General features: G+C 35.6%; 1 protein-coding gene and 1 long non-coding RNA gene across 16 annotated transcripts in view; one reads left to right on the forward strand and one right to left on the reverse strand.

Moving 5' to 3' along the window:
• ADK (adenosine kinase) overlaps window positions 1–18005 on the forward strand; it is a 558070-nt gene that overhangs the window by 355277 nt on the left and 184788 nt on the right. The window lies entirely within an intron of this gene.
• ADK-AS1 (ADK antisense RNA 1) overlaps window positions 1–18005 on the reverse strand; it is a 22827-nt gene continuing 4822 nt past the window's right edge. Inside the window, exons 3-5 of the long non-coding RNA NR_120673.1 lie at window positions 2895–3012; window positions 1875–1918; window positions 1–96 (exon numbers count right to left, since the gene is read on the reverse strand). This is a non-coding gene — a long non-coding RNA (ADK antisense RNA 1). The remainder of the gene's footprint in view (window positions 97–1874; window positions 1919–2894; window positions 3013–18005) is intronic.

An 18005-nucleotide genomic window follows, 5' to 3' on the forward strand; every position in this document is an offset into this window, starting at 1 on the left:
TTTTATTGCAATATGCAATTTACTGTAAGATGTAGGGTTCACTCAGAGATGATTAGCATCAGATGTCATTTTCAATGGATACAACACTTGAGCTCACTGCAAAAGCAACAGGTGGTAGTTACAACGTTGTTACAATAGTACAGTATTTACTGCAGTTCATTTTATGCAGTTAGGATTTAATACTGAATTTTTACATTTGTTTACATTTCTCTTGACTCAAATGCTGCCGTGTATGGTCTGTAAGTGTTTGCCTGTGTAAGTTTTGATAGATTTTAACTTTTTATAATACATTTTTATAGTTTTATGATAGTGATAAAATAGTATCTACATATACTTTATGAGTTCATGACATACTTAACAATTTTTATCAATATTTCTAGGCTACACAGTTTGTCTGTAGAGTATTTCAAACTATCACAAATTTCCAAAAAATTTTCTGATATACTTCTTGAAAAAATTTTTACACACAAGTGGATCCATGCAGTTCAAACCCAAGTTGTACAAGGGTCAACTGTATTGTAGTTATTTTTTAATGAGATTTTAAAAACTTTTTTCAATTTATATGTATTTTTCTTAACTGAGTATTAAATTCTGAAGCTAGTACTTATTAAATTGTTTGGACTTAACATTAAACAGGACTGTTAGGCATTTGTTAGCATACCATGAAAAAATGAAAAAAATAACAAAAACACTAAAAACACTGTAAACTGGGAAAGTTTCAGATTCTCTGAATTTGAGAGAGTTGTTCAACTCTAAAATGAATGCATTCTTCCATAAGCATGTGAAAAGGCAGCAGTCTTTCTTTTTTCTCTTTTTTTCAAAATTGCTTTCTAGACTGGGCACAGTGGCTCACACTTGTAATCCCAGCATTTTGGGAGGCTGAGGTGGACAGATCGCTTGAGCCCAGGAGTTTGAGACCAGCCTGGGCAACATGGTAAAACCCCATCTCTACAAAACATCCAAAAATTAACCAGGTGTGGTGGTGCACACCTGTAGTCTCAGCTTCTGTGGAGGCTGTGAGGTGGGAGAATCGCTTGAGCCCAGGAGGCAGAGGTTGCAGTGAGCCGAGATCGTGCCACTCCACTCCAGCCTGGTGACAGTGAAATCCCCTCTCAAAAAAAAACAAAAAAACAAATTTGAAAACACATTCTAGTGACATGGGATTTTGTGTAGCATCTTAACAAAAATGTAATCACATATTTAAAAATTTTCTGTGCTTTTTGCTGTATCAAACAAAAAAAGTAAGAAGTGCTCTTCCCTTTAAGGTTATGGTCAGGTCAGAGTGGTAAGACAAATACAAGTTGCTTATATCATTAAGTAAAATAAAATAATTACCCTCATTTATTTCATAATATCACATATTATGGGCATTCAAAGAAGAATGTGTACATCTGTTAGTGGGAATGAAGAAAGAATTTGTTAGATTTTAAATGGGCATTGACATGTTGGTAAATTCTAACATGTAGAGGTAGTGGACATTTCAGATAGAAGGAAAAACATAAAAACTCAAGATTTATTTTGGGAGAAGCAAATTATTCTATATGACTGAAGCAAGGACATATGTTATGAAGTAATGTAGATTACAGCTGGTTTACTATAAGTTGGAGTACTATCGTGGAGCACTTTGAATGCTGGGGTGTGAGGCATTTGGATTCAATTTACTAGGAAAAGAAGAGTGATTAGGGTGATTAATCTGTCAGCAAGATATAGGATGATTAAATCAAGGAGAGAAAGGAGGCAGGGATAGCTTTTTAAAAGGGAATGATGGATTTTGCTTTATGTATATGTATTTCAAAGGAAACACCAAACTGTTGATCTTTAAAGAGCATACTTTTGTTCAGCACTGTAACTAACAGTTGTAACATAAAACTCACTTTTCTGATGGGAGGCAGAAGACTTTCTAACTTTCTTGTTATTTCTAGAGGAATAATATCAATACAATGTAAATATGTATGGAATGCATACTATAGGCCAAGAACTATATTAAGCATTTATTTAATTCTCACAACCCTTGAGAGACATTATTATTCCCATTTTACAGGTGAGAACAGTAAAGCCTAGTAAAGTTAATGTTGTCCAGAGTCACATAGTTAATAAGTAGACAGATTAGCAAAAATTTTTAAAATAAGTTTACTAGTTGGTTTAAACTAAGGAGAATTGAGTTAATTCTCCTTGGGTCTTATCAAATTATCTTCATCTGACTTAGGCATAGTTTCTCTCTTTTTTTATTTTTCATATCACTCCTGATCTCTTCCCACCATGGGTACTCTTAATGTGTTTGATATGGCTCTTACATTTGGATGTGTCCTTTAAGACTGTATTGTGTTATTTTAGATGCATGCATATGTGTTTAAATTATACATAATATATAAAAGGGTAAATTATAGCTTGTCTGATTTGATATATATGTTTCTACTCTATTGCTTTTATATTTTTATTTTATAAGAAACACACATTTTTATTTTATAAGAAACAAGGTCTTGCTATTAATATGTTACCAAGACCAGAATGCAGTAGTTATTCACAGGTGTGATCATTGTGCAGATAGCCTTGAACTCCTGGCCTCACCCTATCCTCCCACTTGAGCCTCCTAAATAGCTGGAACTACAGGTGCATGCAGCTGGGCCTGGCTTAGTTTACTGCTTTTTTAAAAATAATTTACAAATAATAATTGTACATATTCATGGAATACATTATGATTTTTTTTTTTTTTTGAGACGGAGTCTCACTCTGTCGCCAGGTTGGAGTGCAGTGGCGCGATCTCGCCTCACTGCAACCTCCACCCCCTGGGTTCAAGCGATTCTCCTGCCTCAGCTTCCTGAGTAGCTGGGACTACAGGTGTGCACCACCATACCTAGCTAATGTTTGTATTTTTAGTAGAGATGGGGTTTCACCATGTTGGCCGGGATGATCTCGATCTCTTGACCTCTTCATATGCCTGCCTCAGCCTCCCAAAGTGCTGGGATTACAGGCGTAAGCCACCGTGCCCGGCCCATAATGATGTTTTGATACCTGTAATGTATAGTAATCAGACAGGGATAAATAGCATATCCATCATCTCAAACATTTATCATTTCTTTGTGTTAAGAACATTTAATATCCTCCATCTACCTATTTAAACTATTTAATATATTTTTGTTAACTAAATAGTCATCCTGCAGAGGTATAGAATTCTATAACTTACTCTTATCTAGTTGTAATTTTGGTATCCTTTAACAAATTTTTCCCTATCCTTCCTTTCCCCCTACTTTCCCAGCCTCCAATATCCTCTGTTCTACCTTTTACTTCTATAAGATCAACTTTTTTTTATCTTCTACTTATGAGTGAAAACATACCATGTTTAACTTTCTGTTCCTAACATTTCACTTAACATAATGTCCTCCAGTTTTATCTATGTTGCCATGAACCACAGGATTTTATGCTTTTTTATGGCTGAATGGTTTTTCTTTGTGTATACATTACACATTTTCTTTATCCATTCATTTGTTGTTGGACACCTAGGTTTGTTCCATATCTTGGCTATTGTGGATAGTGCTGCAATAAGCATAGGGGTACACATGTCCCTTAAATATAATGATTTCCATTCCTTTGGATAAATTCCTAGTAGTAGGATTGCTGGATCATGTAGTAGTTCTACTTGTGGTTTTTAGGAAACTCCAACTATTCTCCATAGTGGCTATTCCCACCAACAATGTATTAAGAGTTCCCTTTTCTCCATCCTCACCAACATTTTTTTTTCTTTTTGATAATAGCCATCCTAACTGGGGTGAGATGATACCTCATTGTGGTTTTGATCTGCATTTCTCTGATGATTAGTGATGTTGGGCACTTTTTCATATATTTGTTGGCCATTTGTATCTCTTTTGAGAAATGTCTGTTCAGATCATTTACCTATTTTTTAATAAGATTGGTTTTTTGCTATTGAGATGTTTGAGTTCCTTGTATATTCTTAGTATTAATCCCCTATCTGATGTTATGAATAGTTTGCAAATATTTTTTCCCATTCTGTAGGTTGTCTTTTCACTCTATTGATTGTTTCCTTTGCTGTGCTAAAGATTTTCAGTTTGATATAATCTCATTTGTTTATTTTTACTTTTGTTGCTTGTGCTTTTGAAGTTGTATTCATAAAATATTTTTCCAGATCAATGTCCTAAAGCATTTCACCTGTGTTTTCTTCTAGGAGGGTTATCCTTTTAGGTCATATATTTAGTTCTTTGATCATTTTTTTGAGACAGGGTCTTGCTGTGTCACCCAGGCTGCAGTGCAGTGGTGCGATAATGACTCACTGCAGCCTTGACCTCCTAGGCTAAGGCAGTTCTCCCGCCTCAGCCAGCTGAGTAGCTGGGACTACAAGCATATGCCACCATGCCTGGCTAATTTTTATATTTTTTGTAGAGATAGGGTTTCACCATGTTGTCGAGGCTGATCTCAAACTCCTGGGCTCAAGAGATCCACCTGCCTTGACCTCCCAAGATGTTGGGATCACAGGTGTGAGCCACCATGCCCAGCCTCTTTGATCCACTTTGAGTTGATTTTTGCATGCAGTGAGAGGTAGAAGTGTAGTTTCATTCTTCTGCATATGGCTATCCAGTTTGCTCAGGACCATTTATTGAACAGACTATTCATTCCCCAATGACAATTCTTGGCACTTTTGTCAAAAATCATTTTGCTGTAGATAATGTGGATAAATTTCTGGGTTCTCTATGCCTTTCCATTGGTCTATATGTCTGTTTTTATGCTGGTACCATGCTGTTTGTGTTATTATAGCTTTGTGATATATTTTGAGGTCTGATAGTGTGGTACCTCCAGCTTTGTTCTTTTTACTCAGGATTGCTTCAGCTATTCAGGGTTTTCTATGTTTCCATACAAATTTTAGAATTTTTTTCCATTTCTGTGAAAAGTGTCATTGGTAGTTTGATAGGGATTGCACTGAATCTATAGATGTCTTTCCATTTATTTGTATGCACTTCAATTTCTTTCATCAGTGTTTTGTAATCTTCCTTGTAGAGGTCTTTTATCACCTTGGTTCAGTTTGTTCCCAAGATTTTATTTTCTTTTCTAGCTATTGTAAATGAGGTTGCCTTTTTGAATTCTTGTTCAACTACTTTGTTGTTTATGTACAGAAACACTACTGATTTTTGTGTGTTGATTTTATATCCTGCAACTTTATGGAATTCATTTATCAGTTCTAAGAGTTTTTTGGTAGAGTCTTTAGGCTTTTTAATATGTAGAATCATTACATATGCAAATAGGGACAATTTAACTTCCTTCTTCTCAATTTTGATATGGTTTATTTCTTTCTCTTGCCTAATTGCTGTGGCTAGTACTTCCAGTACTATGTTGAATAAGAGTGGTGAGAGAGGGCATCATTGTCTGTTCCAGTTCTTAGAGGAAATGCTTTCAGGTTTCAGTAAGATGCTAGCTGTGAGTTTGTCATGTTGAGGTAATTTCAACATGTTATTATGTTGAGGTACTTTCCTTCTATACCTAATTTATTAAGAGTTTTTATGAAGGAATATTAAATTTTATCAAAAGCATTTTCTGCTTTTCATTGAGATGATCATATGATTTTTGTCCTTCATTCTATTGATAGGATATAAGACATTCATTCAGTGACATATGGTGGACCATCTTTGCATTCTTGGGATAATCCTCACTTGCTCATAATCTTTTTGAGACACTGTTGGGTTCAGTTTGCTAGTATTTTGTTGTGGACTTTTGCATGTATGTTCATCAGGGATATTGGCCTATCATTTTCTTTTTTTGTTTTGTCCTTATCTGTTTTTGGTATCACGGTTATGTTGGCTTCATAGAATCAATTAGGAAGTATTTCCTCTGCTTCATTTTTGGAATAATTTGGGACAAATTGGTTTTAATTCAACAGTGAAGCCATCCAGTTCTGGACTTTTTTTTTTTTTTTTTGGTGTTGGAAGACTTTTTGTTATTAAATCAATCTTGTTTCTTGTCATTGGTCTGTTTAGGCTTTCTATTTCTTCTTTCAGTCTTGGTAGGTTTTACGTATCCAGGAATGTGTCCATTTCCTCTAGGTTTTCAAATTTGTTGGCATATAGTTGTTCACGGTAGTCTCTAGTGATCCTTTGTATTTCTGTAGTATCTTTTGTGATGTCTCCTTTTTTGTTTCCTATTTTAATTATTTAGATCTTCTCTCTTTTTTCTTATTCTAGCTAATGGTTTGTCAATTTTGTTTAGAAGCCAGCTTTTTGTTTTGTTGATCTTTTGTATTTTTTTTGTCTTATTTTTGTTTATTTCTACACTGATCATTATTATTTCTTTCCTTCCATTAATTTTGGGTTTAGTTTATTCTTTTCTAGTTCTTTGAGGTTTATCATCAAGTTGTTTACTTGAAATCTTTCTTGTTTTTTGATATAAGCATTTATTCCTATAAACTTGACTCTGAATACTGTTTTTGCTGTGTCCCATAGGTTTTGGTATGTTGTGTTTCTGTTTTCCTTTGTGTCAAAGAATTTTTAAATTTTATTCTTAATTTCTTTCTTTATCCATTGGTCATTCAGGAGCATATTGTTTAATTTTCATGTAATGGTATATTTCTAAATGATTCTCTTGTTATAGATATCTAAGTTTACGCCATTGTGTTCAGATAAGTACTTGATATTTTGATCCTTTAAGAATATTTTGAGACTTCTATTGTGTCCTTACACACGATTGATCCTGAGACTGTTGAATGGGCTGATGAAAAGAATGTGTATTCTGCCACTGTTGGCTGAAATGTTCTATAAATATCTGTTGTATTTAGTCTATGGTGCAGTTTAACTCTGATGTTTCTTTGTTGACTTTTTGTCTACATAATCTGCCCAGTGTTGAGAGTGGGATGTTGAAGTCCCCAACTGTTATTTCACTTTAGATCTAATAATATTTGCTTTACATATCTGGGTGCTTCAGTATTGGGTGCATATATATTTACAGTTGTTATATTCTCTTGTTGGATCAATCCTTTTATAATTATATAGTAGCCCTCTGTCTTCTTTTACAGCTTTTGACTTGAAGAGTGTTTTACCTCGTATAATTATAGCTATTCCTGTTTGCTTTTAGTTTCCATTTGCACTGAATATTTTTTCCATCCACTTCCAGTCTGTGTGTGTATACAGGTGATACAAGTTTCTTGTAGATAGCATATAATTGGGTCTTGTTTTTTTAAAATCCATTCAGCTAGTATGTATCTTTTAAATGTGGAACTTAATCTATTTACAATCGTGTTATTATTGATAGGTGAGGACTTACTCCTGTCATTTTATTGATTGTTTTCTGGTGGTTTGTATATCCTTTGTTCATTACTTTCTCTCAGTGTTATTTTTGCAGTTGAATGGTTTTCTCTAGTGAAAAGGTTTGATTCCTTTCTCCTTCTCCTTTGTACAGCAGCTCTATCAGTGTGTTTTATAGTTTCACATATTTTCATGATGGTGATTATTGTTTTTCATTTCCACATGTAAGACCCCCTTGAGCATTTCTTGCAAGGCCAGACTAGTGGTGATGGATTCCCTTAGTTTTGCTAGTCTGTGAAATATTTTATTTGTCCTTTATTTCTGAAGGTTAGCTTTGCTGGGCGTATTCTTGGGCTAATAATTTTTTTCTTCTAGTACTTTGACTATATTATCCTGTCCTCTCCTGGACTATAGGATTTCTGCTGAGAAATTCACTGTTAGTCTAATGGGGATTCCCTTATATGACTTGATGCTTTTATCTTGCTGCTTTTAGAATTCTTTCTTTGTCTTTGACTTTTGACAATTTAACTGTAATGTGCCTTGCAGAGGTCCTGTTTGAGGTGAATATATTTGAGCTTTCTCGACTTGGATGTCTCTCTGTCTTTCTGTTATTATTTCATTAAATATGTTTTTCTCACCTTTCCCTTCACCTTCTGGAGATATTTATTTGCTTAATGGTATCCCATAAATCCTTTAGGCTTTTTCATTCTCTTTTTTTTTTTAAAGTTAGTCTGCCTGTGTTATTTCAAAAGATCATTCTTCAAGTTCAGAAATTCTTCTTCTTGGTCTAGTCTGTTGTTTAGCTCTTTATTGTATTTTTTATTTCATTCATTAAATTCTTCAGCTCTAGGATTTCTGCTTCATTCTTTTTTATGATATCTGTCTTTGTTGAATTTCTCTTTCAAATCATAAACTCTTCTCCTGACTTTGTTGAGTTATCTATCGGTATTCTCTTGTATCTTATTGGATTTCTTTAAGATTATTATTTTGATTTTTTTCCCACATTTCATATATTTCCTTATAGTTTGGAGTCTGTTACTAGATAATTATTGTTTTCCTTTTGACATTACATGTTTTCTTGCTTTTTTTCCTTCTTCTTCTTTTAAGACAAGTTCTCATTCTGTTGCCCAGGCTGGAGTGCAGTGGCACAATCTCGGCTCACTGCAGCCTCTACCTCGTATGCTCGAGTGATCCTCCCACCTCAACTCCCCAAGTAGCTGGAACTACAGACACTCACCAATATGCCCTGCTAATTTTTGTGGTTTTTAGTAGAGACAGGGTTTCACCATGTTGCCCAGGCTTTTTCTTGCTTTTTCACGGTTGATGTGTCCCTGTGTTGATTTCTATGCATCTGGTGGAAAAGTCACCTCTTTTAATTTTATGGAATAGATTTCATAAGAAAGAATACGAATGAGTCTTGGGTTGTTGGTTTGGTGGGGTACATTAGCCTTATTTCTAGATACAGTTTTGTAGTCTCTGAGTAATTTCTTCAGCTGTAATCCACTCTAGTGGCATTTGTGAGTTTCTCAGTGGCATGGGCTGAGAGAGTTTGTGGCAATGGTGATGCCACTTTGCCAGGGGTGGGCTCACTAGACTGTTTCTCAGGTCTGGGGTATGTATGTGCACATAGTAGGTCAGCCAACTTGGTTGGTGAGATTGGCTTACTGAGACTGGGGCCACAAGGCTGTTACTCTGACCAGAAATACAAGTATAAGGTTGCTTGGGCAACCTGGGGACATGCCTGCCAGGAGCAGCTTTCAGGTCGGGGACGTGGGCTTTTGGCCACTTGGCTGGCTTGGAGATATTCCCTGTGGCACGGGGGCAGTCTGCGGGACTATCTCTCAGGCCATTATTGGGGGTAAAGGACTGTTGGGCAGGCCAAGGGCGTGCCTATGGGGGACCTGTGTGTCTGTTTCTCAGGTTCTGATTGCTTGCAGGTAGCCCTACTCTGCTGGCCCTGGGCCATATCACCTTCTCAGAGGCTCAGGGAGGTCTCCTGCTTAGAGAAGGGAGCCCAGCAGTTTGGCCAGCTTAAGAGCAGGCTTGCTGTGGGTAGGACTGGCAGACTGGTTTCTCTGTTGGTGGTATGGCCATGGTTCTTGGTTTTCTTGCTGTGCAAGACCAGAATAACAGCCAGTCCAGGGTCCAGCCTTCACCAGCTTGGATCATGGTGTTCAGAAACTTGTTTGGAGTTGGCATAATGAAGATGGAGCCCCAGTTCTGGAGAGGTGCAGTGGCCACTTTCCCCCCAGAGGAGGGCATACTACACAGGTGGCTATTCTCAAGATGACGCCATGTTACAGCAGTTTGGCTCACAGTGGTGGGATGGGGAGTACACACCTTGTGCTCTTAATCCAGGTCAGTGCGTCTGCATGAATTCCTGGCAGCTCTCCAAAATGGGCTCAGGGCTTGTGAGGACTATGGGATTCTTGTGTAGTAAGGCCTTCATGTGTTTGTGGTGGCAAAGAGGCTGGTAGGGATCTTCTGCTGACTTTTTTCCCTGCAATAGCAATTCCCTCCCGTCTCCAGGCAGATCTGATCTAGGTGGGGAAGATGGGACCACGAGTTTGAGTGCCTCTATGCTGCCTTCCTAGATTTCCAATCACCACAGGTGCATCTTCATTCTATCAGTGCACCCCACTACTCTTCCTTCACACTCCAGTCAAATCTTAGCTGTTTGTTTGTTGCCTTGATCCTTTTTTTGTGTGTGGGTTAGACAAGCACCAGGTATCCCTACTCAGCCATCTTGCTGATGTTACTCCTTTATTGCTTTTCTTTTCTTTTCTTTTCTTTTTTTTTTTTTGAGATGGAGTCGCGCCCTGTTGCCCAGGCTGGAGTGCAATGGTGTGATCTCAGATCACTGCAACCTCCACCTCCTTGGTTCAAGCGACCAAGTAGCCTCAGCCTCCCAAGTAGCTGGGACTACAGGCACCCACCACCACACCCAACTAATTTTTGTATTTTTGGTAGAGACGGGAGCTCACCATGTTGGCCAGGCTGGTTTTGAACTCCTGACCTCAAGTGATCCGCCTGCCTCAGCCTCCCAAAGTGCTGGGATTATAGGCTGGAGCCACTGTGCCCAACTCCTTTATTGCTTTTAATCTCTGCATAGTAGTGTGTGTATTAGTCTGTTTTCATGCTGCTGATAAAGGCATACCTGAGACTGGGAAGAAAAAGAGGTTTAATTGGACTTACAGGTCCACATGGCTTGGGAGGCCTCAGAATCATGGTGGGAGGCAAAAACAGAAACCCCTGAGAAAACCGTCAGATCTCGTGAGATTTATTCACTACCACGAGAACAGCATGAGGGAAACCACCCTCATGATTCAAATTATCTCCCACCAGTCTCTCCCACAACACGTGGGAGCACAATTAAAGATGAGATTTGGGTGGGAACACAGAGCCAAACCATATCAGTGTGCATTCACCACATTCTCATCTTTTCCCCTAGAAATAGACTTCTAGGATTTCTCACACTTTATGTTCAACAGAGCTATATAAATATGCTCCTATGTATTCCCTTAAAGCCCATCTTCTTTCTACTATATCTTTTTCCTCATTTTACTTCCTTTTTTGAGGGAGTTATGTGGGATAGAAGAAAAATGGACTTCTTCATTTATAACATACCTGAAGTTGGGAGTATTTTAATCCTTAAACAGATTAAAATGAGCTGGGTGTGGTGGCTCACACCTGTAACCCCAGCACTTTAGGAGGCTGAGGGAGGCGTATGGCTTGAGCTCAGTAGTTGGAAACCAGACTGGGCAACATGACAAAATCCTGTTTCTACTAAAAATACAAAAACTAGCTGGGCGTCGTGGTGCATGCCTGTAGTCCCAGCTACTTAGGAGGCAGAGGTGGGAGGATCACCTGAGCCCAGGAGGTCGAGGGTGCACTGAGCTGTGATTGCACCACTGCACTCTAGTCTAGGCAACTGGGCGAGTCTCTGTCTCAAAAAAAAAAAAAAAAGAGTAAAAGATATGCAGACTATGTGATTTTCTGCTTCCAAAAGGAACCACATAGACAGGAAGAAGATCCAAGTGAATTATTCTCTTCTATTTCTTTACATTGCCTTCTGTCATTGGTAACATAACCTTTATGGCATTCACAAGTATATTTGTTCTAGCTTTCTTCTTTTAGTAATTCTGTTGCTGTCGTTTGTGTGAAATACTGCATATTATAACATTGTAATTATAAATGATTTATACATTATCTTAATCGTTGTCAGGGCCAACGTTTTTCTTACAAGCAGATAGGAACTATGCTTTGTTGTAACTCATATTTGATCGACTCTGAGAACAAAATGTATTTTATACTTTCTTGGAGTAGTCCCACAAAACATGTAGGACCCATTAAGAGGAAGAAAGCATGCTATATGGTTGTTATATTTGTTATTTTTGACTTGTAATTTATTCATTCTCTCAGCCCTGTTCTCTGACTAGTGTTACTATGGCACCTAAGTTATGGCATGGAAAACAAGCTAATTATGTTCTTCAGAACAGACGACAGTGATACATCTTGAGACACAAGCATCTGGTAGTCTTAGCCCTTTCCTCATCAGTGCTAGTCTAGGCTTGGTTGGGCTCTCTGGTTGTCCAAATATTTTTCTGTTACAACACATCCTTCTTTATTTTATTTTTCTTCTATAAATAGTGGTTTATGCTTTCTAAAGCCTCTAGTCTCATATTTAGTTTGTTCCTTTTTGAGCCTTCTGTCTACTCAAAGAAGTAATATAGACTTACTCCCAGCTGTGTATGATCTACTCTTACTCCTGTTTATTGAGTTAAGCTTTTTACTATTTGTAAACATCTCTTGGTTGTGTAGACACAAATACACCAAAACTAAAAATGGTTAAATTGGGGTGAAAACTTACGGATATTTCTTACAATTTATTTTTCAAAATTCAGTGATGTAGTTAGATGGCTCTCCTGATAAAAATTGTTTAAGAGATATGAGTAATCAATACTTTTTTATCAGAAGTGACATCTAACCATATTACCAAATTTTGAAAAACAAAGAAAATATTAGAATTATCCACAATTTTTGTACCTAAACTTAACCAGTTTTACTTTTGTTTATTCCCTTATAATCTTTTTTACTATTGATTTAATGTAGGTTATAATCATACTGTGTACACACTATTTGTATGTCTTCTATTTAATTGAATATTTATGTGCCATAAGCATTTTCTACTTTACTACTTAGTTTTCATCATCATCATCATTTGTAATATCTTTAAAATATTCTCTGGAGTGGTGCTATTCAATAGAAATATAATTTAAAATTTTCCAGGACCCATATGAAAAATGTAAAAAGAAACAGCTTAATAATGGATTTTATTTAATCTAATATATCTAAAATATTTATTGTTTCAACATGTAAAAATTATATACCGTATTAGACATAAAAATTATTAGATTTTAACCTTCTTTTCATAGTACATCTTTGAAATGTACCTATTTTACATATATACCAGTGAATTACGTCACTAAACTTTCAATGTCAAAATAAAATGTAGTCCTACCAAAACAATAAAGCTCCAGCAGAAAAATATGAAATGCTTCAATTTTTACATTTAAATTAATGAAAGTAAATTAAAAATTTAGTTTCACGATCATACTAGCCACGTTACTTATGCTCATCATGTACATGTAGCTTCTTCATTTAAATTTAAATTACATTTAAAATTCAAGCCTCTCTTTGCACTAGTCACATTTTAAGTGATCAGTAGTGAGCTTTAGAGTATATAGCCAATTCTTGACTGTTCCTCTGTCATTTTTTTACATTGATTTCAATGAAATAAGTACACTGATAAGTTTATGAATGTATATTTTCCCATGTTTTGGATTACTTTCTTAAAGTAGACTCTCAGAAGTAGAATTACTGGGTCAAAGAGTATAATCAACCCTTCTTCATCATTGTTACCATATTGTTTCTTTAGTTACTAGAGAGGAATATTTCTCTACATATTTATTTACTATGTATTTCTCTTTCAATGGAATACTTTTTAATGTTATGGTTTATTTATCTATTGGTGTCCTAATGTTTGTTTAATTTTTAGTCTACTTTTAAATTTCTTTGTGGACTAAAGATACTAACGCTTTGTCTTGTTTTTCCTCATCTTTTGTTTATTTGTTTGTTTTTTTCCTTCTGGGAGTACCAACTGAACCCTTTACTTTTACTATAGCAAATATTTAGATAATACTTCCTCTGTAAGCTTCAAAGTTTTTCCCACTCTAGAAGTTTGATATTTACTTCTCTTTTATCATAGATTTTCTATGTATTTTTAAAAAATGTTTTTATCAAACTGGAATATATGATTATGTAATTGTGAGAAAATAAACTAAATTACAAGTTCTTAACCTTCAGTTGAATCCAGTGCTTACCCATTATTTTTAGATAAAGCCTCATTATATATAGTTGCTGACCACCACTGCATAGTTTTACGCATATGTGTAGTTAATCAGGAAGTAGATGGACCCAAATAGATTAAAATCTACTGTTTCAAATATTTCAAAATAATATCATATATTCTTCCCTATTATATTCTGATCAGAATATTGTTCTCAGTAAAAACAAAGTCTTTTTTTTTTCTATATCACCATGTATCCACAGTTGATTAATTATAGTCATGGTTATTTTACATAGGTTTATTTCCTTTTGAATTAATATAGACTTATACTTCCAAGAGTTATAAATAACTGAAATTTACATAGTTGTGTATGCACACATACACATACACATACCCCTATTCCTCACATAATTGGTAATAGAAATAATGAAAAGAGGTTGTGTTCTTAGGCAAGGACAATTTAAAAGAACCCCAAATGATTACCTTGAATTAAGGTAAACACTGGTAAAAAAAAAAAGAGCAAAAAGGGCAATTTTTTCCTTTAGTATATTAAACAATGTTGTTTCTAACATTCCCTCACGTTTAGACTACTCTGAAAAATCCTTAGAGTGGTTGTGTAATGTGTTTAAGTTTTTTCGATTTCCAAGCATTAAGTCTGGCTCCACTAAAACGGTTGTTTGGTTCTATTTTAGTCTGTCCCTATCTGTCCTACTGCTACCACTTTGTGTTGTTTTGTTTTCTGTTATAATGAATACAACAGTCCCACTTCATTCTCAGTTCTAATTAACGTTATCCAGCCTCTAAGTGTTAGCATCTACTTTGCTTTTGGTTATAGGATCAACGATAAACAGCTAACTGTTGTGCAGACTGAAATCCCTAATTAGTAAAGCACAAGATTTTATTGGTTATATATTTTTCTAAACTATAGACTTGATTTTGTTGCAAACCTTACATGTAGAAAAAAAATTTTGTAATGGCACTGTTTTTATTTTTGGTGATACTATAGTCTGGAACATGTGGCCCAGCAAAGGTTATAAATCTAGCAAGAAAAATTATGGATGGCATCAATTTTAACAGTCTTTGCGATCTAACAGAGCATAAACCCCAAATTGTTTAAATACTAAATATTTACTTAAAGAAAAACAAGAGATCATTCAAAAATAGAATTTAAATAGTGAATTTGCCTTTTATTTAAAAGTTGACAAGTTTTGTATATTTATAAAATTAACAAAATTGACATCATACTATCCATATCACAAGACTCTTGTGTTGTATTTTAAAGGAAAACACACACACAGCATACATACATTTGGATTGGGGCCAGATTTAGACTCCAGGGGCACAGTGTTCTGTACCTTAAATTACAATCAGATGTATTTTAGCACAGATCAAATTTTCAGTCTGAAGTTGGTGAGAAGCCTAATTATTTGACCAGGTTACTATTTATGTAGACCATTCTGTGGCTGGCTGTGGTTAATCCACAGCTGGCAGAATGCTAGCTATGGGAGGTTTTTATTTGATGCTGGAACAGTTTGGGGAGAAATAGAGGGGGAAAGCTTTAAAATCTTCTCATTAAATGAAAGACTAAAAAGCAAGACAGTACATCCATATTACTATGGAGACAAGATGCTGTATAAACTGTTCGTTTTAATTCTCCAAGTGACAGAAATAGCAAAGCAGCAGCTTGGATGCTCATAGTTTGCAAGTGATAGGATACTTGGTTAAAAAAGAAAGATAAAAACATTTAAAAATAATAACTAAGACTAAGATTTGTTGCCTCTTAGAACACTTGAATATTGGTAAAGAATTAATGGATTCAATTTTTAAATGATGAGAAATATTGTTATTATACAAAAACATTTTGTATTTCACTAAACATACTAAAACATTTAGAATTTCACTAGCAGTACTTTAAAGTGATAAGAGGCAGTTGTAGGGGAGAAAAAGTAACATATTTTCCTCATCCATCGCAAGGGTCATGACTGAACCCTCTGTAACGAAACAGATTAACAAGAGAAAAGCATAATTTATTTAACAAAGTTTTACATGACACAGGAGCCTTCAGAAATTAAGACCCAAAGACCAGCAAAAACTGTATTTTTATGCGAAGTCTGATGAAAGACATGGATAGTTGTAGAGAAACATTAGACAAAAGGGGTATGATCTAATGGTAATAAACCTAGGGTTGAAGGATGTGGAAGCCAGCAAGTCCTGTCTGTTAGATTATTCTTGGCCACCAGGTATAGGACAGGACCCCTTTGGAAAAGGGTTTTATGGCCAGCTTTCACACAGAAAGGTGGGAGAAGGTCAGAGTGACCTTGCTTCTGCGGGTTTTCTCAATTGCTAGGGGGCCATATTTTGGGGTATTGTATTCTGGGCCCTGACACAATTATAGTAGACGATTCTCTCTTAACGTCTCAGAATATGTATAAAGGCAATAAACCCTTCCTTAAAAGATGGACCCCAATACACATGGCTCCTGCCACTAAATTAATTTTTTTAGTCTTCTTATTGTAGTCTATTTGAAATTTGAAAGTAATATTTTAAAAGATTTTTTTTTCTTTTTAAACTTTTCAGAGTTTGCATTATGGAAATCGTTGGTCCCTCAGTTATAAGTGAATATCTCAGTAGCATTTTTGTAACTTTTAACAGAAGTTTCTTTTATATTTTCAAGGTTATTTCTTCCATTTATAAGCCAGTTCTTCTCCCCTTCTAGTTTCCAGTGCTCCCACTTCCTCTAGTTCTTTGCTCTAATTATCCTCTCTCCCTTGCCTCTTCATTCTTCTATTTCTCCAATAGATCCTTTTCTTTGAAAAGCAAAATCTTTCCAACTTTCCCTGCCCTTAAAAGCAAATCTCTTCTTTCCTCCCTTCCCTGCCCACCCTTCCCCGCAAAAAAGCGTTTGTGCCTTTTCCTCCTCTTATTATCTGCTCAAATTAGCAACATATCTGGAGTCATATGAATCCAGGCTTCATCACATGTAAGCTGTGTGTCCTAAGAAACATCTCTTAACTTCTCTATCTTGCTTTATTTATCAAAAGAAACTAATATGTCCACCTCATAGGTTTGATGTAAGGAAAAAACAATAACTGAGTTGCTGTATAGTATAGTGCCTGGGACACAATAATTACTCATTACATTTCAGATGGTTTTATTATCATTACTGATGAAGCTTTGAAAATAATTATTCTTACCTTACTTTCTCACCATTCCTTTTTTAACAACTACTTCTACCATCATACTAAGTGCTTTCTGTTAATCATCAAATCTTATGACTTTTACTCATTCCTTTCTTTCTCTACTTCCCCATAGCACCTTCTTAAAATTTCCCTTGCTTAGTTTCTCCACCATCACTTCTCCTCTCCTCATTTGGCCTCCTCTTGTTTTCTCCTTTTCCTTTTTTATTTCCTCTAATTTTTGTTCTCCATTTTTTCCTTCGTCGTCTTTTGTTCTGTGTTCTCTGCCTTGGGAATTACACCACCTCTTTGACCTCACCTCTTTCATGACCTTTCCTCTAAGTCCAACTTTCTGGTAGATACTTAGAGATCCCTTAGAACCTCAACTGTAGTATGACCACAACTAAACACTCTTTACCATCTAAGCCAGATCTTATTCTGGAATTTTCCACTTTTATTAATGGTAGAACCAGATTCAAAAATCTCAATCATCTTTTGACTCTTTTCTTCTTTGCCTTCCACATCTTAAACAATTGCCAAGTCCTGTATGTAGTACTCCTAATATGGTTTTCTTTTACACAGCCAAATGTAGACATTTATTAACTGTTGCTGAATTGTTGCTGCCCAGGTTAACTTTGCTTTAAATTTTCCCATAAGCTTGTTATTCCTTCCTTTCACGGAAATATTCATTACCCATGATCCACCCCTACCCCTCTTGCACATTGCCCACCAAATAGATTCCTACCCTGCCATCCAAGGCCCTTTGTATTCTTAACTTCGCCGACCTTTTCAAGTCTCTATTATTGCCCTTTGTGTATTCCTTTACTTGTTTGTGCACCATCCAAACTAATTTCCTGTATATACATGTATGTCTTTGCTTATGCTTTCCTCTAGAAAGCATGAATATGTTTTAATAAGACTTTCATTAATATTAAAGCTGTACATAAATAGCATTTTAAATGCAGCTTTCCTGACATGAAATTTTAAAGAAATTTAAAGAAAATTTTAAAGAAAAATTAAATATTTTTCTTTTGCATTACTGCATTCTTTTCTCATTATTTGAAAATTCTAATTCAGAATCTTCCTCAAAAATCAATTTAGATATTTCTTAAGGTAACAAGTTATGATTGATTGATTGATTGATATAGAGACAAGGTCTCCGTGTATTTCCCAGGCTGGAGTGCAGTGGTGTCATCTCGGCTCACTTCAACCTCCACCACCTGGGCTATAGCAATCCTC

Source organism: Homo sapiens, chromosome 10 (assembly GCF_000001405.40).
Source record: "Homo sapiens chromosome 10, GRCh38.p14 Primary Assembly".
In the NCBI taxonomy this organism is placed as follows: domain Eukaryota; kingdom Metazoa; phylum Chordata; class Mammalia; order Primates; family Hominidae; genus Homo; species Homo sapiens.